This window comes from Homo sapiens, chromosome 13 (assembly GCF_000001405.40).
Source record: "Homo sapiens chromosome 13, GRCh38.p14 Primary Assembly".
NCBI classification, from domain to species: domain Eukaryota; kingdom Metazoa; phylum Chordata; class Mammalia; order Primates; family Hominidae; genus Homo; species Homo sapiens.
In genome coordinates this window covers 69,814,213-69,838,422 of record NC_000013.11, presented here as the reverse complement: position 1 = coordinate 69,838,422, position 24,210 = coordinate 69,814,213, and the positions used below count along the sequence as shown (strand labels likewise).

The window sequence follows — 24,210 nt, the reverse complement described above, 5'->3', positions numbered from 1 at the left end:
AGAGTTATTGGAAAAATCTCCAAAAATTTGTCCTCTTCAGATTTTCTTATGTCTGTCTTAATTTTCCTGAATAAGTACACAAGAAAAATAATATGCAAAAAGTGTAATTTTCATGTTTGTTTCTAATAAATGATATAATTAACCATAAAATATTTCAAGTATTTATTTAAAAAGCTGGAATTGGCAACAATAGAATATGACCAAATATCCAACATCTTTTTTAAAATTGTTATTAAGATAAATCAGAACAAAAAAAAAACTTATTTCAATCACTGTGAACTGAGATTTCAAAATTGTAGCTGCAGGGAAAAAAACTGATGTAATCAATAGAGAATGACACATTCTCATTTGTTGTCTGTCAAAAGGATATCCTATGGCTGTTACATGGTTTTCATAGTTTATTTTTGGAAAAGAGCAATTCCTGTAAATATGAAAATGCAGAAGCCTAAAGAAATAAGATTTATTTTATAAGTACATAGCAAATCAAGAGAATAAAAGGGCAAAATGTTTGTCATCACATGGATGAATATAGGCACTCATAAAAGACAATATTGGTCCTGGGAGAAGGTACTAAAGCTTAGAATATACTATTATTGAAGAAGGAAAGCCTTAGAAACTTCTTTAAAACACAATAAAATGTCTTCCATCTGGGGTAGTCTCTTTCCCAGAAGACAGAATCTGGATGGTGATTTTGATGTTTACTTCAAAAAATATGAGATCTATATATATATGTGTATATATATATATATATACACACACACACACATATATATATACACATATATATATATACACACACATATATATAGAGAGAGAGATGTATGTGTATATATATAGTATAACTATATATCTATACATATTTATATACAAATATACCTATTTATGATTGTATTCAATTTCCTCTCTCGGACATTATATAGCTAGGTACCTAAGTATAGGTATATTTAGATTTACTAACATTCTTGAAGTTGTTACTTTTGTTGCTTGTAATCATTACTTACATTGTGTGTGTGAAATTATGTTATTAAATTTTTGAAAGACATTTCAAATTGCTTACTAATTATTATTCACACAGAAATGTCACAGTTTACTTGAGCTTAACCCTATTATTAAACACTTTGCTGGGATTCAATAATTTTTTTATAAATAATGCCACCATTAGCACCCACATACATAAAAGTTTATCCTAATCTCTGAGTATTTCCTTAAATATACACCTAGATGAAAAATTAGTGGGTGGGAAAGAAAAGCCGTTGTGAGGTATAAGCTAATTTCTTTTTCAAAAATATATAAGAATTTATAATATTACCAAGTTATACAGAGTGCCAGTCTTACTGTCTTGTCAAAAAAATTTTGTCTTAAAAAACCTTTTTATATGAGTAAGTTTTAACATAACAAAATATAAAGAGTCGTATAGTCAATCCCCAAGTGTTCATCATTACATTTATATTTCCCTTCTTAGTAGTGAAATTGAAATTTTTGTATTTAATTTTTTATGTATTTAATCACATATATAATAATGAATACTGATATATTAATACCTCTCTTCTAATTATTGCATTTTTTTTGCAGTTTCTTGAGCATTGTTTGGTCAGTAGTAACAGCCTATGGTACAATCCTGTCATTTTCTTTATTTTAAATGAAATTACGTTAATACTTCAGAAGTCTGCTGTAAATATCTAGTAGGTAGCATAACACACCTGGCAATGTTTGAAGGAATGATGGATATTGCATAAGAAAATACATAGATGCTCTGGATAACATTAAGTTTTGTAAGACATAATTTACTTTATTTTAGGCAAACACTTAGAGTAACAGAAAATTGCCTTCTTCCAAACAAGAATTGGATGATTTGAGACAAAGAGTTAGCGTTTGTGAGGACTGCCTTACTCTTGTTTGGCTTTCAATGTTTATACCAGGGCCACTCATTCTTGGTGAGCCCTGAATGCTGTTTCATTTTTAACTCAGAACTAGCTTTGCCTAGTTCTGAGATAAATCTATGCCTTACAACTATTTATAAGCTAAGTTAACATCTTAGCTTCCATTTTCTGCCTGGATTTCTGCCTCTTGCTGTGTACATCTTCGAAATCAGCAAACGCCCAGAGAAGACAAGCAGTGTTGCCCTGCCATTCTCTTTTCTGAGGGACAGGAGTCTAAGGTCCTGACTGCCTTGATTGCCCTGAGCTGCAATTTGTGTCTTTTCAGCCCCATCAGACTGCCCAGAGGCCTCAGCCCACATGCATTGCAAGGTCTCTAAGCCTAGAGCTGCTTATGAATCAATCATTTCTAAAGGCAAAAATGGCAAAGAATGTCAGGCTCATTTCCATTCACGTCCCCTCTTTCTGGGACTTCAGGCTTTTAAGTGTTAGCTGTATTTTTTAGTCTCTAATGTCTTAAAACAGCTAAATTTTGTACTATGAACTGAAGCTTTATAGTTACTCATGTGGGAACAGTTTGTCTGATACAAACTAATCCATCATGTTTAAAAGAAGCCCCTGTGTATTTGTAATTTTGAGGTTGTCTATTTCTGAAACTTCTTGAATTTTTTCAGATTTATATATTTATTTATGAATTTTAATGTTCTTCACTTATTTTTTTTCATTCTGTCCATTATTTCTTAACAATTACACATTTTATTTTATATCCTGGGGCTAATAATTTCAACATCTAAAAGGTTGGGTTCTAAATCTGTTGTTTGTTGTTTCTGACAACAGAAGTTTGATTCCTTCTGTGTCAGGTAATATTATTTTAAAGTCATAATTAATTTTCTTTACTCTCAGGGACTTCTTAGGGGCCTACATTTTGCAGATGCCTTCCTCTAATGAGCCTGAATCTGCTTCAACCCAGAACCAAAGGCCTCAGTAACTTAGAGCCATGTCAGCCCCCTTTAACCATTCAGGCTTAATGCAGCATCTCTGGTTCCTTGTTCTCCCGCCTTGTGTTTGGCCCAAGGCAGATGCTCCAGATCTTATTGTTGGAAACCTCTGTCCACAAGAGATGCTGGCTTTTGTATTCCTTTAGCTCTCTCTCTGGTTTCACCTCACTGTTCCTTCAGCTATTTGACTATGCCCTTGAAAATTTCTCTTATTTTCATGTAAGACGAGCAATGCAAATAATTTTTTTTGTAATTTGCCCAGGTGGGCTGGTATTAGAATTAGAGGGCATTTCAGCCTGAGTCTTCTATTCTCCAACAGTCAGAAGTGTCCTTTTTCTCTTTTATTCTACAGTTTTCTCCATAGATTATTTCACTTGATTTATGTCCTATAATTTTTGAAATGTAGGTATTTTGTCTATAACTAAACCATTAACACTCTGAAATTTTTCAAACATTTTGGATATTTGTAAGGTAGACTCATTGACATTTTCTTAGTTAATTAATTTTGGAGTATTCACAAATTTAATATACTATTTTCAGTTATAACTTCTACATCTCTAAAATGCAAATAATCCCACCTTAAATTTTAAATATCATGTATTAAATTAGAACATCTCTAATTACAATGTAAATGACCATTCATTAACAATTTGACCAAATCCCACACTTCTAATAGTGAGTGTAATTCAAAATCTGGACCTAAACAGGAATTGATACATGCCTTAGAACTGAGGGATTATTAGCAAATATTCAAAACTACAAGTATGAATTACTGAATACTCATTTGTTCTTCTGTTATACATTCTCTTCTTCAAATGATAGACAACTTGGCAACAGAAACTTTCTAATTTTAGAAACACTTACTATTAATTGTGATAACATTTGTTATCAATTGCAGAATTTCAGTAAACATCTACTAAATTTAAATTGCAAGTAATTTAACTGATCTAAATGGATATCCAAAGTGGACAAGTCTCACATATATTTATGAATTATAAATTCACTTTGAAGTATAATATGCTATTTATCAATGTAAACTTTGTGTGAATGTGAAATTCACCTTTGTAATATTTTGAAGATGTGAAAAGCCAAGTGTAATTAGAAGACTGCTGTTACCGACACAACTCTTCCCATAGGACCCTTCAAGCAGAAAACAATTTTATGGATCTAGGATACTTTTCCTCAGTAACTGATTTTTTTTAAGTAATAGATAATACATCAATGACATAAATACATACATATATATATATATTTAACTAATTGTAATTTCATTTTTTCTCCCCCCAATTTATGTACTTATTTATTTAATTTCAATAGGTTTGTGGGAAACAGGTGTGTTTGGTTTACATAGATAAGTTCTTTAGTGGTGATTTCTGAGATTTTGGTGCACCCATCACCTGAGCAGTGTACACCATACCCAATGTGTAGTCTTTTGTCCCTCAACCTCCACTCTTTCATCCCTCCCCTCAAGTCCCCAAAGTCCATTGTATTGTTCTTATGACTTTGTGTCCTCATAGCTTAGCTCACACTTATAAATGAGAACATACGATTTTAGGTTTTCCATTGCTGGGTTACTTCACTGGGAGTAATGGTCTTTAACTCCATCCAGGTTGCTGCAAATGCCATTATTTAGTTCCTTTTTGTGGTTGAGTAGTATTCCATGGCATATGTGTGTGTGTGTGTGTGTGTGTATATATGTGTGTGTATATATATATGTATACATGTGTGTGTGTGTATATATATATATAGAACACAACAAGTATATATGTATGTATGTATGTATATATATATATATATATACCATTATTTCTTTATCCACTCATTGATTGATGGGCATTTGGGCTGGTTCCATATTTTTGCAATTGCAAATTATGTTGCTATAAACACACATATGTGCAAATGTCTTTTTCATATAATGACTTCTTTGAATCTAGGTAGATATCCAGTATTGGGATTGCTGGATACAGTGGTGGATCTAGTTTTATTTTTTAAGGAATCTCCATACTGTTTTTTATATAGTGGTCATACTAGTTTACATTCCCACCAGCAGTGTAAAAGTGTTCCCTTTTTCACCACATCCTTGTCGACATCTATTTTTTTTTATTTTTTGACAATAGCCATTCTTGGAGGAGTAAACTGGTATTCATTGTGGTTTTGATTTGCATTTCCCTGATCATTAGTGATGTTGAGCATTTTTTCATATGTTTGTTGGCTATTTATTTATGTTCTTTTGAAAATTGTCCATTCATGTCCTTAGCCCACTTTTTGATGGGATTATTTATTGTTTCTTGCTGATATGTTTGAGTTCTTTGTAGATTCTGGACATTTGTCCTTTATCAGATGCATAGTTTGTGAAGATTTTCTCCCACTCTGTGGGTTGTCTGTTTATTCTGCTGATTATTTCCTTTGGTGTGCAGAAACTTATTGAGTTTAATTAAGGCCTATCTATTTATCTTTGTTGTTGTTGTTGCATTTGCTTTGGAGCTCTGGGTCATAAAGTCTTTGCCTAAGACAATGTTCAGAAGAATTATTCTGAGTCTATCTTCTACATTTTTAGTGACTTTACGTCTTAGATTTAAGTCTTTGATTCATATTGAGTTGATTTTTGTATAAAGTGAGAGATGAGGATCCAGTTTTTTGCCATGTGGCTTGCCAATTATCCCAACAAAATTTGTTGAATAGGTTGTCCTTTCCCCACTCTATGTTTTTGTTTCCTTTGTCAAAGATCAGTTGGCTGTAACTATTTGGCTCTCTTGCTGGGTTTTCTATTCTGTTCTATTTGTCTGTGTGCCTATTTTTATACCAGTACCATGCTGTTTTGGTGGCTATAGTCTTATTGTACAGTTTGAAGTTGGGTGACGTGATGCCTTTAGATTTGTTGTTGTTGTTGTTGTTGTTGTTTAGTCTTGCTTTGGCTAGGCAGGCTCTTTTTTGATTCCACGTGAGGTTTAGAATTTTTTTTAAGTTCTATGAAGAATGAAAATATTTTGATGGGAATTGCATTGAATTTTTAGATTGCTTTTGGCAGTATGATTATTTTCCCAATGATTCTACCCATCCATGAACATGGGATGTGTTTCCATTTGTTTCTGTCATCAATGATTTCTTTCAGCAGTGTTTTGTAGTTTTCCATGCAGAGTCTTTCACCTCCTTGCTTAGGTATATTCCTGAATATATTATATTATTTTTTGGCAGCTATTTTAAAAAGAGTTGATTTCTTGATTTAATTCTCAGCTTGGTCGCTGTTGGTGTATAATGGTGCTACTGATTTGTGTACATTGATTTTGTATCCTGAAACTTTACTGAATTCTTTTATCAGATCTAGGAGCTTTTTGCGTGAGTTTATAGAGTATTCTAGGTATACAATCATATCATCAGTGAACAGCGACAGTTTGACTTCCTTTTTACCAATTTTGGTGCCCTTTATTTCTTTCTTTTGTCCGATTGTTCTGGCTAGGATGTCCAGTATTATGTTGAATCCAAGTGGTAAAAATGGGCATCCTTGCCTTGTTCCACTTCTCAGGGGGAATGCTTTCAACTTTTCCTCATCCAGTATAATGTTGACTGTGGGTCTGCCATAGATGGCTTTTATTATCTTAAAGTATGTCCCCTCTATGCCAGTTTTGCTGAGGGTTTTAATCATAAAGGGATGTTGGATTTTGTTAAATGCTTTTTCTGCATCTCTTGGGATGATGATGTGATTTTTGTTTTTAATTCTGTTTATGTTGTGTAGCACATCTATTGACTTGCATATTTGAAAACATCCATGCATCCCTGGTGTGAAATCAACTTGATCATCGTGGACTATCTTTTTGATATGGTGTTGGATTTATTTAGCTAGTATTTTGCGGAGGATTTTTGCATATATGTGTATTAGGGACATTTGTCTGTAGTTTTCTTTTTTATTATGTCCTTTCCTGGTTTTGGTATTAGGGTGATAGCAGTTTCATAGAATGATTTACAGAGGATTCTCTCCTTCTCTATCTTTTGGAATAGTTTCAATAGAATTGGTACCAATTCTTCCTTGAATATCTGATATAATTCAGCTGTGAATCCACTGGGTCCTGGACTTCTGTTTTCTTGACACTTTTTTTAATTACCATTTCAATCTTGCTCCTTGTTATTGGTCTGTTCAGAGTTTCTATTTCTTCCTGGTTTAATATAGGACAGTGGTATATTTCCAGGAATTTATCCAAATCTGCTAGCTTTTCTAGCTTGTGCATGTAAAGGTGATCATAGTAGTCCTGTCTGATCTTTTCTATTTCTGTGTTATCAGTTGTAATATCTCCTGTTTCATTTCTAATTGAGCCTATTTTGATCTTCTCTCTTCTTTTCTTGGTTAATCTCACTAATGGTCTATGAGTTATGTTTATCTTTTCAAAGAACCAGCTTTTTGTTTTACTTATCTATTGTATTTTCTTTCTCAATTTTATTTAGTTCTGCTCTGATCTTTGTTATTTTTTTTTTCTTCTACTGGGTTTGGGTTTGATTTGTTCTTGTTTCTCTAGCTCCTTGAAGTGTGATCTTTGATTGTCTGTTTGTGCTCTTTAGACTTTTTGATGTAGGCATTTAGTACTATGAACTTTCCTTTTATCATTGATTTTGCTGTATCCCAAAAGTTTTAATAAGTTGTTTCACTATTATCATTCAGTTTATATAATTTTTAAAATTTCTATCTTGACTTCACTGTTGACCCAACAATCATTCAGGATCAGATTACTTAACTTCCATCTATGTGCATGATTTTGAGGGTTTGTTTTGGAGTTGATTTCCAATTTTATTCCACTGTGGTCTGAGAGAGTACTTGATATAATTTCAGTTTTCTTAAATTTGATAAGACTTGTTTTGTGGGTTGTCATACAGTCTATCTTGGAGAATGTTCCATGTGCTGATGAATAGAATGTATATTCTGCAGCTGTTGGGTAGAATGTTCTCTAAATATCTGTTAAGTCCATTTGTTCCAGGGTATAGTTTAAGTCCATTGTTTCTTTGTTGACTTTCTGTCTTGATGACGGTCTAGTGCTGTCAGTGGAGTATTAAAGTTCCCTACTATTATTGTGTTGCCATCTATATCATTTCTTAGGTCTAGTAGTAATTGTTTTATAAATTTGGGACCTCCAGTGTTAAGTGCATGTATATTTAAGATTGTGATATTTTCCTGGTGGACAAGTCCTTTTATCATTACTTAATGTCCCTCTTTACCTTTTTAAACTGTCATTGCTTTAAAGTCTGTTTGTCTGATATAAGAATAGCTACTCCTGTTCACTTTTGGTGTCCATTTGCATGGAATATCTTTTTCCACTCATTTACCTTAAATTTATGTGAGTCTTTATGTATTAAGTGAGTCTCTTGAAGATAGCAGATACTTGGTTGGTGAATTATTATCCATTCCGTATTTTTTATGTGGGGCATTTAGGCCATTTACATTCAATGTTAATATTGAGATGTGAGGTACTATTCTTTTTATCATGGTAGTTTTTGCCTGAATACCTTCTTTTTTTTTCCCACTGTATTATTGTTTTATAAGCCTGGTGAAATTTATGCTTTAAGGAGGTTCTATTTTGGTGTATTTTGAGGTTTTGTTTCAAGATTTAGAACTCCTTTTAGCAGTTCTTGTAGTGCTGGCTTGGCAGTGCCAAATTCTCTCAGCATTTCTTTGTCTAAATATTATTATATCTTTTCTTCATTTATGAAGCTTAGTTTCACTGGATACAAAATTCTTGGTCGATAATTGTTTTGTTTAAGGAGGCTAAAGATAAGACCCCAATAGTTTCTAGCTTGTAGGGTTTCTGTTGAGACATCTGATGTTAATTTGATAGGTTTTTCTTTATAGGTTATCTGATGCTTTGCCTCACAGCTCTTTAATTTTTTTACCTTGTTTTTCACCTTTCTCTGGCGCCTTGTTGAGTAGCTTAATAACCAACCTTCTGAATTCTTTTTCTGGAAATTCAGAGATTTCTTCTTGGTTTGGATCCATTGTTGGTGAGCTAGTGTGATCTTCTGATGGTGTTATAGCTCCTTGCTTTGTCATATTACTAAAATTGTTTTTCTGGTTCCTTCTTATTTGGATAGACTATGTCAGAGGAAAGATCTGGGGCTTAAGGGCTGCGTTCAGATTATTTTGTCCTGCACAGTGATTCCTTGATGTGGTGCTCTCCTCTTTCCCCTTTGGATGGAGCTTCCTGAGAGCTGGACTGCAGTGATTGTTTTTGCTCTTCTGGGTCTAGCCACCCAGCAGAGCTACTGTACTCTGGGGTGGTACTGGGGAGTGTCTGTGGATCCTGTAATGTGATCTGTCTTCAGGTCTCTCAGCCATACACAACAGCGGAGGTAGTAGGGGAGTGAAGTGAATTGTGTGAGGGTCCTTGGTTGTAGTTGTGTTTAGTGTGCTGGTTTCCTCTAATGCTGGTTGTGCTAGCAGTTTCTTGGCCTCCAGCCAGGAGGTGGAACTTTCAAGAGAGCATCAGCTGATATAAGCTTGCCCTAAGATTTCTTGGATAAGTATACTTTGGGTTTCTCAGGCAATGGGCAAGGCCTTAGAGCTCCTAAGAGATTACGTCTTTCATTTTGACTACCAAAGCAGGTAGAGAAAGGCTTGGTGGGTGCAGGGTTAGGCATATCTGAGCTCAGACTCTCCTTGGGCAGGGCTTGCTGTGGCCACTGTGGGGGATGGAGGTGTGGTTCTCTGGCCAATGGAGTTACTTTCCCAGGGGGATTATGGCTGCTTCTGCTGCGTCATACAGGTTGCCAGGGAAGTGGTGGAAAGCTGGCAATGACAGGCCTCACCCAGGTCCTACACAGCCAGCAAGGCCAGCCTTATTCCCACCTTGTCCCAGCATCAGCCTGGAGTTTATATCCAGGCAGCTGATAAGCAGGGCTGAGATCTTGCCCCAGGCTGCAAACCTCCCTGCTGAGAAAGTAAGCAAGGTTTTTAGGCCTCACCCCTCCCCACTTGCTTTAGCCTCTGTGTTCCTATGGCCTGTACTTCCCATTTGCACTCCGCCCTGGATTGTACCCAGGAATACTGGTGTTCAGTCAAAATTATTAGAAAGTTCAACTGGAGGTTTCCTTCTCCCTGTGGTCCTTTCCCAATTCCACTGGCTTCCCTCCCCAAGAACCCCTGTGAGATAAAGTTAGAAATGGTTTCTCTGGGTACTGAGAGTGCCTACAGGGCTCATCCTACTTCCTCTTCTATTTTTATATTTCACTTGGCTCTCTACATTTGTTTCAGCTCTAGATAAGGTTAAATACTTCCTTTGTGATCTGGATTTTCAGGTTCCCTCAGTGAGGTGAGCATATGTACTTGGAGGCTGACTTTCCCCTCTCACATTTTGGGCACTCACAGTTTTCTAGCTGTTCATGGAGTGTGCTGTGGCAAGCCACTTCTTTCAAAGGGTCTGTGAATTCCTTTGGTTTTCCTGCTATGTTCCTGCATTAGTTCTTCAAGCAAAAATTCATTATGTGAGTCTCCTCATGCTGTTCTGTCCATCCAAGTGGGAGCTGCAAGTTAGTCCTGTATCCTATCTGCCATTTTCACATCAATGACATATATTACAAATACCTTCTTCCAAACACCACCATATACAAAATTTTATTTACTTCCAACAACAAACTTATCTTGAGAGTATTTTCCAAGCTCATTTTGAATTTGAAGAGATTAAGAAACTTTTTTAGTTTCTACCATTTAGTAAGTAGAGTTTTAATCAGGATTGTGTGTAATTCCAAAATTTGTATTATTTCTTCTGCTCTTTTGCTCACATTTAACCTGTTAATGATGAGATGTGCTAAGAATAACTTTTTTTTTTTTTTTTTTTTTTTGAGACAGGGTCTCGCTCTGTCGCCAGGCTGGAGTGCAGTGGCACGATCTTGGCTCACTGAAACCTCTGACTCCTGGGGTTCACGAGATTCCCCTACCTCAGCCTCCCGAGTAGCTGGGATTACAGCCATGCACCACCACACCCAGCTAATTTTCGTATTTTCTGTAGAGACGGGGTTTCACCATGTTGGCCAGGATGGTCTCTATCTCCTGACCTCATGATCCACCCGCCTTGGCTTCCCAAAGGGCTGGGATTACAGGCGTGAGCCACCATGCCCTGACACTCACTAAGAATGACTTTTTTAAAAGGCCTGCTAAATACTTGACATACATTAATTCTTATTATATTATTTTTATTTAGAATTTTACTGAAGATTAGAATCAGTTCTCAAGTGCAGTGTGTGAAGGAAAAAATCTCAGGCCAGCTAAATAAACCTTATCTTATGATTTTAGAAAACATATTTGAAATATAAGAAATTATATAATTGACAAAATTAAATATGCTCTATTATATTTCCATTTCATGTTTTATAAATTAATTTTATATACCAAAATTATAAATATATTATAATTTTACCTTATTTTCAAACTCTGTTTTATTAATTTCCATTGAGATTTACCTTTTAATAACATGTTTTCAAAATCTAACGTAACATATTACATTAAAATTCAGCCCACATTTCAAAATTTTATTCTAATTATAAGCATGAAGAACCATGAAATTAGTATCTTTAAATGTCCAAAAATGTACATATGAATGTCCAGAAAATTTTTCTAGACAAAATTCATTTGTCTAGAAAATGGATGTCCAGAAAATGAATACAAGTTTATAAAGGTCTCAATTAATATATTCTTATTAAAATAAAAATCTTACTATAAGTATCCTAAACACTCGTTTATAAAATTTAAATTTCACAGCCATATATTCTCTTAAAAGAACACATTATTTAATGAAAAAAACAACTTTTATTTATTTTTCAATTTAAAAATAAGGGTTTTATATATTTAAGGTTTAAAACATGATACTTTGAATATGTATATATTGTGGAATGGCTCAATCAAGATAATTAACATATAAATTGCCTCAAATATTTTTCCCTGCTGAGAACAGCTAAAATCTACTCTCAGCATTTCTTTCTTTCTTTCTTTCTTTGAGACAGTTTTGCTCTTGTTGCCTAGGCTGGAGTGCAACGGCAGGATCTTGGCTAACTGCAACCTCTGCCTCCCAGGTTCAAGCGATTCTCCTGCCTCAGACTCCTGAGTAGCTGGGATTACAGGTGCCCACCACTATGGGTTTTTTTGTGTTTTTAGTGGACACAAAATTTTACCCTGTTGGCCAGGCTGGTCTTCAACTCCTGACATCAAGTGATCTGCCTGCCTTGGCCTCCCAAAGTGCCGGGATTACAGGCATGATCTCACCAATTTTCAAATAGACAATACATTGTTATTAACTATAGTCATGTCATAGAGATCTATTATATAATTGATCTCTAACTTATTCCTTTTTCCTGACTAAAATTTTGTGTTCCTTGACCAACATTTCTCCAGTCTTCACCACTAGATTCTCAGCTCCTAATAACCACCATTCTACTCTCTGCTTCTATGAGTTTGACTTTTTTAGCTCCTATGCAAAAGTGAGATCATTCTGTATTTGTCTTTCTGTGACTGGTTTAGTTCACTTAACATAATGTTCACTTAACAAAAGCAACTTTTAGACACAAAATAAATAAATCTTTTTTTTTCTGTAAGTAAGTATTTCTAGGCCATAATATGTTGTATAAACGTCAAATAAAAGTTCTATAATTCAATACAAGGTCATTATGTTTCCTACTGTCAGAGAACTATTAATATACTATCTGGGATATACCCTATCAGCAATATTTCTATCTAACTTGGCTTCAGACTTCAGTTATCAGATTTGCTCTGCCCTCTGTAGCTCATCAGTTATCAAGGGCTGTCTGATTTACATCAGCATTTCTACTACCTTAGTTGAAACTTTATCACCTCAGCCCTGTAGTCCTGGGATAAAACATGTGCTTCTTAAATGGATTTACTTGTTCTTACAACACAGAAATACGTTAGACAGTGATCTCCCTATCTCCAGTCTCTCTCCAGTCCCATCCACCCAGCTCTCTATCTACTATAAAATTAATTTATCATGACTTTTAGCATGATCATTAAAATACAAAATATAAATATAAATAAAATACAATAAAAACCTTCATTAGATCCCCATTCCCCAGGTAAGGACTAATATTCTTTGCCCATGACAAAACTATTCTTCATCACCTAATTTAACTGGCAGGTTTTTCCTATTTTCTTTCCATCAAAAATTTCTTGCCAGTATACTTCTAAACTTTATCATATTTTACCACTCACCACCCCAGATCCGAAGCTCCCTTCCACTAACAGTACTACTCATACACATACATTGCTTTATGCTTGATGTCTTTCTTCTTTTATCCCCTGCTTATCTCACCCTGCTTTAAAATCCTCCCATCCCTGGCTTCTCAGTAGCCTGACCAATTCAATTATGTAGAAAAAAGCTGTTTTTAGTCATGTTTATTTTATCAACATATTATTATAGAATTTTTAAACATTAAAAAGTGAGAAACAATCATACAGTTAACATCCATATTCTCATCTAAGTGATATCGTTACTAGTATGCAACATGGCTTTATCACATACGTATCCATCTATCATTTTTCTATCACTCATCAATTTTTTAATGCATTTCAAAATTGAAAACATGAATGAACTTGATCCTAAACACATTTGGATACATATTATCATTAGATTTCAAATTTTTTTTAGATATTTTAGGCAAAATTTACATTCATTGAGATGTGCAAATCTTAAGTGGTCCTTTAAGTGAGTTTTCACAATGCATACAGGTATGTAACCCAAACACTAAACATGATAGAGCATTGCCACTACCCCAGAAAGCACACTCATATTCCTTCCCAGTCAATTTCACCTTCCACATCTCCAAAGACAACTATTCCTTTGAATATTTTTTCAACCTACGTTAGTTTTGCCTATTTGTAGACTTCACATAAATGGAAATCACACATTTTGTAGTCTTTTATCTAAGATTTTTTCAATTAGCATATTATTTTTGGAATTCATTTATGTTGTGCATATCCCTATCTTCTTTTTAATTAATTAATAGTAATCTGTTTATCCATTCTCCTATTGATGAAAACCTGAAATATTTTCACTTTTAGCTATTATGAATAAAGCTGATGTAAACAGTCATGTAGAAGTATTTTTGTGGTCACTGCACATATATGTTGATATTATAAGTCATTCACCTTGTAAAAAACATATTCATGAAAAACATCAGAGAAAATATCATCTTACTTTTTGGGAACTGTGTCAATATGTCACTGAGTGAATTACAACATAGTGTTATTTTCATTATGGCTATTTATTAATAAATCTATTTGCTTTTTTATGGTCTTTTCTACTAATAACATTTCATATGTTGTGTAACAACCTGGACTTTCGGGAAATTTTATACATAGAAACATTCTTTGCTATACCAGAATTATAGGATGTATTTTTATTTAATGTGGAAGCTTTTGAAAAATTTTATGTTAGCACTGTTTCACACTCAAGTAGTCTTGATGTCTGACTTTTAAAGGATGCTTCTATGAACATGCAGCACTTAATGTGGTCAGAAATACAAACATACTCTCGTAGACTATTATATACATATATATATGCACATATACATATATATACACACACACATAATGATATACACACCAAAAGGTGACTTAATACTGAGAGCAAAATTTATGAATAAATACCCAAATGGATAAGAACATTTAATTTACTCTATTACACTGGAGTCATATCAACTATACACATTACTCAAGGAATCCAACCATAAGAGAGAGAGAGAGAAAAAATTTCAATGATTACAGAGATACCAAGCTCAGTTTCTCTGGAGTAAGCAAGCAAGAGGTAAGAGAAGTGGAAATGCTAATGTTTTAGAAAGTCCCAGTATCCATGTAGTGTGGGGAATAGAGTCCTACAGTTAATTACTTATTTTGTATTTTGTATAAAAGTGACTTATACAAAAGAAAACAAAGTATTTTATTTTGTATCATAAACAAAACACTGAGCTAAAAATAGATATAAATTTCCACACTAGATTTAATGTTTTAATAGATGGTGCTATATGTGTGTGTATATACATCTAGTCCAATTTCTAATATGAATTTATTAGAAATGTAAATAATTTTTAAAATAAATAATTTTAATGATTTTTTAATTTTTGGCTTATATATAGACTTTAGAGCCTAACGCCTCACCAACAACCCCAAATACCTTTGGGTGCATGATATTCACTTATTTTAATAAAATTGAAAAAGTTGCATAACACTTATAAACTTTAGTAGGGTAATTAAGTATTTTAAATGTTGGTGTTTCTCATATGCAAAATGAGAGTAATAACATTTCCTATTTCTCTGAGACATTTTGAGGTACATGCTGATGCAAGAGCACAGGGTTGCATGTTAAGTTGTTGTAAGTTAACAACTTAACCAAATGCTGATTCAATAAATGATGGATGCAGCCTTACTTTGAAATATTATGACATATGTTATTCATCTGTGGCAATTCTTTCACACTTAAACCTCTATCCATCGGAGGTGAGGCTTCTATGTCTTCACAGAGCAAATACAGTTAAAATGCAAGCTCTTGATAGCGAACTTTTGACGTCTTAACAGTTTATCCTGAAAGAAAGTTTATGAGCAAAATAAGTTGTTATAAAAACATAAAGTTATATTTTTGAAAAAACTGAATTGCACATGTATATTTTAAACCCACTATATTTATTAGCCATTGTTTTCTAAATTTTATGTGCATTAAAATTTTAATATCAATATCAATTTAATCTTTATCAGATAATTATATTAAACCAGTTATTCTATATTATAAGGTTAATATAATTGAGTATATTTTATAGCAATTATACACATCATTTTTTCACAAATATTATACTATTCTTAATAGATACTTGGCCTATTGTTATAAGGTTGTAATTTGAGGTATTTTTGTTGCACATAACTTGTAATATTTTTGTAAGTGTCTCAATTGGAGCTATACCTTTTAAGTGACTCAAGAATCTCTACTGGAGACCATTGCAATGCCCAACTCTGATGCGTGGGTAGAAATAAGTAATGACTTCATGTATTTGGAAGTCTGACTAATTATAATCGTATCATACAATTATTTGTTTAGGTGCTCATGTATTTAATAGACAATGTCACTTTCTGATAATGCTGCTGGTATTTTCTCCCAAATCAAAAACATGACCTTTTAAAAATGTTTGTTTCAATAATTGGAAATTATTAATTTTGAAATATAATTAAAATGGTATCCTTTCTACTGTCTGCTCCTTATATGTTTCTTGGGTTTCCAGATTATAAATTCATTCTTTTGGGATTATCTAAATCTGCTGCCAATATTCATTGAGTGGCTACTAATTTCTAGTCACTGTTCTCTTTTTTTTTTTTTTTTTGAGATGGAGTCTCCCTCTGTCACCCAGGCTGGAGTGCAGTGGGTGATCTCAGCTCACTGCAACCTCCGCCTCCAGGGTTCAAGCGATTCTCCTGCCTCAGCCTCCCAAGTAGCTGGGATTACAAGCACCCGCCACTACACCCAGCTAATATTTTTAATTTTTGGTAGAGATGGGGTTTCACCATGTTGGCCAGGCTGGTCTCAAACTCCTGACTTCGTGATTTGCCTGCCTTGACCTCTCAAAGTGCTGGGATTACAGGCATGAGCCACTGGGCCTGGCCTAGTCACTGTTTTTAGTGCTAGTGAACAAAACTATAAAAATCCCTGCCATGGTTTAGCTTAAGTTCTATTAATGGGGCCATAAGCAAAAAAGTTAGTCGAAAATAGTTTATGTGATGATTATTTATGAAGAAGTATAAAGTAAAAACGGGGGAATGGAGAGTACAAAATGAGGGGACAGTGTTGATATTTTATGTACAGCGGAAGGCCACTTTGATAAGTTAAATCAGATATACAAGTTGCTATCTGAAAATGTAATTAATTTCTTTCTAAAAATGAAGAGCTCTTTAAATTATTATCACCAAGGCCAGGTGTGGTGGCACGCCCCTGTAATCCCAGCACTTTGGGAGGCCAAGGAGGGCGGATCAGCTGAGGTCAGGAGTTCGAGACCAGCCTGGCCAACATGATGAAACCCCATTTCTACTAAAAATGCAAAAATTAGCCAAGCATGGTGGCACACACCTGTAATCCCAGCTACTTGGGAGGCTGAGGCATGAGAATTGCTTGAACCTGGGAGGTGGAGGTTGTAGTGAGCCAAGATCAGGCCACTGCACTCCAGCCTGGGCGACAGAGTGAGACTCTATCTCAAAAAAAGAAAAAAAAAGAAGACATACATAAATAAATTATTACGATGAATGAACATTTGTTAAGCTTTTAAATCTTTATTTTCTCGTAATAATTTATGATTTATGGATATTTTAAAAGCAGGGTTTGTCAAACTATGACCATATCTAGCCTACCATTTGTTTTGTATGGTTTATGTACTAAGAACAGTTCGTACATTATAATGATTGGAAAAAAAATTCATAATGAAATTTTTATTTTTTTAAAATTCAAATTTTAATGTTCATAAACTTTCATTGGGTTTCACCTATTTGTTTACCTGTTGTCTGTGGCTGCTTTCACTCTACAGTGGTCACGTGGTTGCAAGAAAGAAACACACAAGGTGATCCACAGAGCTTACGACTTTTACTATTGCCCTTTCCAAGAAAACAGAGTTTTAGGACTGTTATTATAGAAGAAAATAAACCTCTACTGTATTTTTCTTGGAAATGTCTAGTGCCAAACGTCACATTTGTTTGACCCAAATCTAATTTATCAGCAGCTGGAGTGGGCAGTTTCTGTGCAAGTTTGCAATGTCACAGCACGGGCAACCTCCTGTTCTACCTGCTTTTCTACCTAACAGCATTCTTTGATGTATGCAGAGCAAATTCGGCCTGAATGTCCCTTGAACAGGCATCCCTGTAGTGGGAGTAAAGGATGAGGTTGAATCTCCAGAGGCAATTCTCAACTAACTTGGTATGAAAGTCTGTGATGCTATTCAAATTTCACTTCTAGTATTATCACTTTCCCTTTTTATATTACGCTTATGCCTCTGTTGGCCAATTCCCTTTTTCAATTATCCTTTTTATTTTTTTGTAAAATGATAGCAAGCTTATCACTAGGAGACAGAGAGTAAACACAAAAGCCTGTGCATGAACTTGATAATGATCACCTCCAGACTTTGATAGAATTGACACGATGAGTTATTTACGGTGATGTGCATCTGTTAAGTAATGACTTGTGGACTGAAGAGTTAGTAGTAAAATTTCTGCTTAATGTAATTACTCACAGTGAATACGTTATGATAACCGATATGTGAACCCTGTTATGGGGGACTGGTGTTACTTAACTAAACCATAAGTGACTGAAATTCACGTATATCAGAACAAAGTGAGGACTATCTGTGTTTGAGGAGACAATATAAAATTACACAGTTTGATATAGAGAAATAGAACTAGAATCTAGGCAGGGTATGGGGCTGATGGGCCCTGCAAGATCCTACTTAATAGATACAAGCCCATGAAGGAGCAGCCCTCTTTTGATTTGGCTAAAGGAGAATCAAGATTCTTAGAGGGACTGCTCTCTTCTTGACACGGGAAAACAATGCCAAGTGAACTTTCCTGCATACTGATTGACAGCTGGCAAGCAGAGAGCCCTCTGACTTTGACAAAGGCATTTATAACAGATTATTTCATTCTAAAGCAAGAGTAAACCAATTAAAAAGCTGAGACTCTCAAACTGATCTTTGGAGCCAAAACAGAGAAAATAATAATAAAATTTTATTATCACGTTGCTCTGTTTATCACCTTATACATGATAGCTGTGAACAAAAAGCAGAGCCTAGGTAAGGAAATCCTAAGCATGCTGATGGCATGTTAGGGCCACAGTAGCAGTGATCGGTCCTTCAGGTACTGATTAACTGAGTGGACAAGTGAAGGAGAATTAAAAGCCTCTTTTATTTCTACATTTTTTTTTTTTTGCATTACCTCCTTGTTGAATGACTACTTACAGCCATAGGTCAATTACTGATTTTGATTAACAGGCAGGTGTCTGTTCAGATAGCACTAAATCTTTCATGTGAACTCAAAGCAAATGTTCTCAGTGTGCCTAATAATAAGAATGTGGTGGGAAGGTGATGAAGAAAAATATAAGCAAGTGAGAAGCTTTAATTCTTAAGTATAAAATAAAAGCTTAATTTCCCAGAGATTTTCTATTGAATCATTTTATTATGGAGAGTGTATTACAGTCTTTTAATGTTTCATGCATGCCTCTAATTTTCATATAATTTAAATTAGTAAATTACATAACTTTAAGGATTAAACCCCTGATATTTGTCTCTTTGTATTCAAAGGACTTGGCCAGATCATTTATCCTGAATTCATCTCATCATTCTTTGCATTATTATCTGTATTGTTGCAAGGCAAAAATGGAAAATGAGATATCTTGACCTTATTTTTACCTCTTGGCTTGAACTGGACAAGCTACACTATCAGGATCTTTTAAAGAACAGCCTTTTATGCAGCAATTCTGTAACTGGATAATTTTTGCAGCATTTAATTAATAGTAATCATCCTATGGCTTTGAGAAAGAAAATGATACACTTACAATTCTCTGTCAGAGAAACCTGACCGTTTGCAATTAGGTTGGAGAAATAACATTAAAATACTGTATGACTTTTTCTGAAGAAAAGCAATATAATAAAAGAAGGGTTATTTTTTCATATTTGCCCCTTTGAGTACTGCCCTACTTGATGTTTGCCTCAGTGACTACATTCAGTCACTTTGGTTCCACTTCAACACTTTCTTTGAGCTTGAAGTATATCACTGGAGATTACTTGTTCAAGGTCATCAGTTTGCACACAGCTATAGAAACAACTCAAAACTATGAATAAAATCATGTCAGCCAAAGCTCAGTTCCATTTCACACACAAAGAATTTTCTTCTGAAATAACCACTTACTGTCTTGCTAAGGGATATTGTAGAGGAGAACCATACTTCCCCAAGCATCCCAAGGGAAGAACTAAGTTAAGACAGGATATCTGCATTTGCATCCATCTTTAGAATTAAAAAAAGATGCCTGGCCGGGCGTGGTGGCTCATGCCTGTAATCCCAGCACTTTGGGAGGCCGAGGTGGGTGGATCACGAGGTCAAGAGATGGAGACCAGCCTGACCAACATGGTGAAACCCCATCTCTACTAAAAACAGAAAAATTAGCTGGGTGTGGTGGCACCCACCTGTAATCCCAGCTACTCAGGAGGCTGAGGCAGGAGAATTGCTTGAACCTGGGAAGCAGAGGTTGCAGTGAGCTGAGATCGTGCCACTGCACTCCAGCCTGGTGACGGAGCAAGACTCCGTCTCAAAAAAAAAAAAAAAAAAAAGATGCCTATGAGTTAAGTTAAATTCTTATTTATGTCATCCCCTGTGAGTGTTTGGACAAGGGACTTCTAGCTCCCCAGAAGCCATGTTCTTAATCCAAGAATAAAATAAGGCTGTCAGATGAAAAGCGAAGTTTTCTTTTACAGCCTTATCTTCACTAGAAAGAGACAAATCTTAGTGACTAATTCAGCTGTAAATATTTCTGGGGCCTCTTCTGAGGGTGGTTCAGAGTAAAACTTAAGGGTCAAATATTTCCAAATTCAGACTAATAGCTATATTTTGCCTCTTAATAGAGGGTTTTGAACCTCATCATTGTACATTCTGTAGGTCTTTCTAGGAATGAAGACTGTATGAATGCAGACTGAATAAAAAATTCATGTGCTATGATAAAAGGCCTACCATAATTATAAATTCTTGAGTACTCAGTACATTCTTTTTGATCAATCTCCCTGTGAATGTACAGCAAATGATAATAAACATATCTTTCCTCCACACTAAATCTCCTTTAGTAGATCCATGGGGTAATAAGTCTGAGTGTGTTTAGCATATATTTCATGAATACCTGATCTTAATTCTCCAGTGTGTGGCTATTCTCTGGAAAAGAGAAATAGTCTCCCTAGGGCAAAATTAAATTACTTCTATGATACAGACTTGCAGAGAATAAGTAAAAGATTTAGAGATAAATAGAAGTCACCTAATGTGGCACTAATGTAATCTTGCATTTTAAAATGAGTAAATCTCAATGAATCACAGAAAGCCTTCAATTAGAGTATCTTAGTGAGGTTGGGTGCTCATTTATGAAAAAGGAAAACATGTATTTTTTACAGGCTTATAGTTTAGGTGGAGATCACTGGAACCTCATATTCTTTTACTACATGTCTGCAAAGACATTTTATGACTTCTTTTTTTGCCATACAATCAGGAATACTAGAACCTAATTGTCATGATTGCCATCTTTTTCTTTCATTCCAGTGTCTACATTTTCAACGAAAGCTAGAAAAATTCACATATTATATGGAAGACCTTTTCTGGGGCATAGGGCATTTTAATAACATAAATAACAAGGGCTTGCTTATTTTTGGCGAATGATGTTAGTTATAAAAATAAATATTTTATTTGAAAATGTCAAGTAGCATGAGTTTATGTTCAGTAAGCATTTTAAGATGAAAACGTAAAATAGTCTCACAATAATGTTTGAGTGTTCATTTGTTGTAAAGCTTTTTTTATTATATTTATTTTTATTTATTTATTTTTTTACTATTCTGAGATGGAGTCTCGCTTTGTTGCCCAGGCTGGAGTGCAGTGGCGCCATCTTGGCCCACTGCAAACTCTGCCTCCTGGGTTCAGGTGATTCTGCTGCCTCAGCCTCCCGAATAGCTGGGACTGCAGGCATGTGCCACCACTCTCGGCTAATTTTTTAATTTTGTTGTAAAGTTGTTTTAAATATGAGCTCTTTGCCATAAAAAGGTAGCTAACTAATAATGGTAGAAATAATAAGTTTAAGTTTTGGCTTACCTTTTTAAAAGTCTCTTTGTTGTGTCATCATTACCAGCAACAAAAGCTGCTTTTAAAAATAATGAACTACAACTTTAATTATAGCGCTAAGAAATATTTATGGTAGAACATTTAAAATAGGTAGTTACATATAAAAAATTCAACTTCCAGGCCAGGCACGGTGCCTGTAATCCCAGCACTTTAGGAGGCCTAGGCGGGTGGATCATTTTCAGGGCAGGAGTTCAAGACCAGCCTGGCCAACATGGTGAAACCCCGTCTCTACTAAAGGAAAAAAAAAAATTAGCCAGGCGTGGCGGCACATGCCTGTAATCTCAGCTACTCAGGAAGCTGAGGCAGAAGAATCACTTGAGCCTGGGAGGCAGAGGTTTCAGTGAGCCGAGATTGTGCTACTGCACTCCAGCCTGGGTGACAGAGGGAGACTGTCTCCAAAAAAAAAAAAAAAGAAAAAAAATTTTCCATTCTCTAAATTTACTATATATTAATTGCATTCACACACAGCTGTCCTAAAATGTTGCATTGATTTAATGTCAACCAGCTGATTTAGATGTGAACATCAAAATTATATATCTTCTAATCTACTGAAAATATATAAAATTATTTAATTATTAGGAAAGCCTAAGTAAATTTTCTGATATTTACCTATTGCATTCACATTAATTGCCTGCTTATGTAATTAGCATTTTTTTTATTTTGAGGTTTCTATTTTTCCTCTTGATTAATATGTTTTATATACCAACAAAATATAGCCTTTTCATATTTCTTAAAAGGTATAGTTAATTTCTTTATCTTTCAGTTTTTTATTTCTCTATTTGTATATTTTTGATGTAGATATATTTTATATTTAGATGGTTGGAGGTTATATATTTATTAAAATGTACTTTATAACTTCTGGGTTTTGTGGCTTTCCCTCACAAATCTTTCATCTTGGGCCACCTAGAAGTAAAAGTTAATCACCTACTTTTTAATATTCCAGTTCATTTACGGCTTTTTTAAAAAATTTTAGATTCCACGGGTACATGTGCATGTTTGTTGCATGGGTATATTGCGTGATGCTGAGGTTTGGGCTTCTAATGATCCCATTGCCCAAAGAGTAAACATAGTACCTGATGGATGATAGTTTTTCAACACTTTCCCACTTTCCTCCCTCCCCAGTTTTGGAATCCCCAGTGTTACTTGTTTCCATTTTTCTATCCTTTTGTACCCAGTGTTTACCTCCCACATATAAGCGAGAACATGTGGTATTTGGTTTTCTGTTTCTGTGATAATTTGCTTAGGATAATGGCCTACAGCTGCATCAATGTTGCTGCAAAGGACGTGATTTCATTCTTTATTATGGCTGCATAGTAGTCCATGGTGTATATGTACCACATTTTCTTTATTCAATCAACCATTGGTCGGCAACTGGGTTGATTCCATGTCTTTGCTATTGCGAATAGTGCTGCAGTAAACATATGAGTGCAGGTGTCGTTTTAGTAGAATGATTTCTTTTCCTTTGGGTATATACCCAGTAATGAGATTGCTTGGTTAAATACTAATTCTGTTTTTAGTTCTTTGAGAAATCTAATAACTGCTTTCTGTAAGGACTAAAGTTATTTGCATTCCCTCCAACAGTATATAAGCATTCCCTTCTCTTCATAATCTTGTCAATATGTTATTTTTTGACTATTTTATTTTATTTTATTTTATTTATTTTTTTAGAGACGGAGTCTCACTCTGTTGCCAGGCTGGAGTGCAGTGGTGCGATCTCGGCTCACTGCAACCTCCGCCTCCTGGGTTCAAGCAATTCTCCTGCCTCAGCCTCCCGAGTAGCTGGGACTACAGGCACACCCCACCACGCCCAGCTAATTTTTGTATTTTTAGTAGAGACGGGGTTTCACCATGTTAGCCAGGATGGTCTTGATCTCTTGATCTCATGATCCACCTGCCTTAGCCTCCCAAATTGCTGGGATTACAGGCATGAGTTACCACGCCCAGCCTTTTTTGACTTTTTAATAATAGCCATTCTGACTGGTGTGAGGAGGTATCTCATTGTGATTTTGATTTGCATCTCTCTGATGATTAGTGATGTTGAGTATTTTTTATGTTTCTTGGTCACATGTATGTTTCTATTGAGATGTATCTGTTCATGTCCTTTGCCCACTTTTTAACTTTACTTGTTGATTTTTTTTAAGTGTCTTAAAGATTCTGGATGTTAGCCTTTTGTCAGAGGCATAGTTTGCAAATATTTTCTCCATTTTGTAGGTTGTCTGTTTATTCTGTTGATAGTTTCTTTTGCTTTGCCAAAGCTCTTCAGTTTAATTACCTCTCAATAGTCAATTTTTGTTTTGGCTTCATTTGCTTTTCAGGACATAGTAATACATTATTTGCCAATTATTGGCAAATGTCTAGAAGAGTGTTTTATAGGTATTGTTCTATGATTTTTATGGTTTGAGGTCTTACATTTAAGTTTTTAGTCCATCTTGAGTTAATTTTTGTATGTGTGGAGAGGTAGGAG

At 34.8% G+C, this 24,210-nt stretch overlaps 1 protein-coding gene across 4 annotated transcripts in view; it reads left to right on the top strand.

Annotated features, from left to right (window-relative positions):
* KLHL1 (kelch like family member 1) overlaps positions 1–24,210 on the top strand; it is a 407,856-nt gene that overhangs the window by 270,030 nt on the left and 113,616 nt on the right. The gene's annotated exons all lie outside the window — the stretch shown is intronic.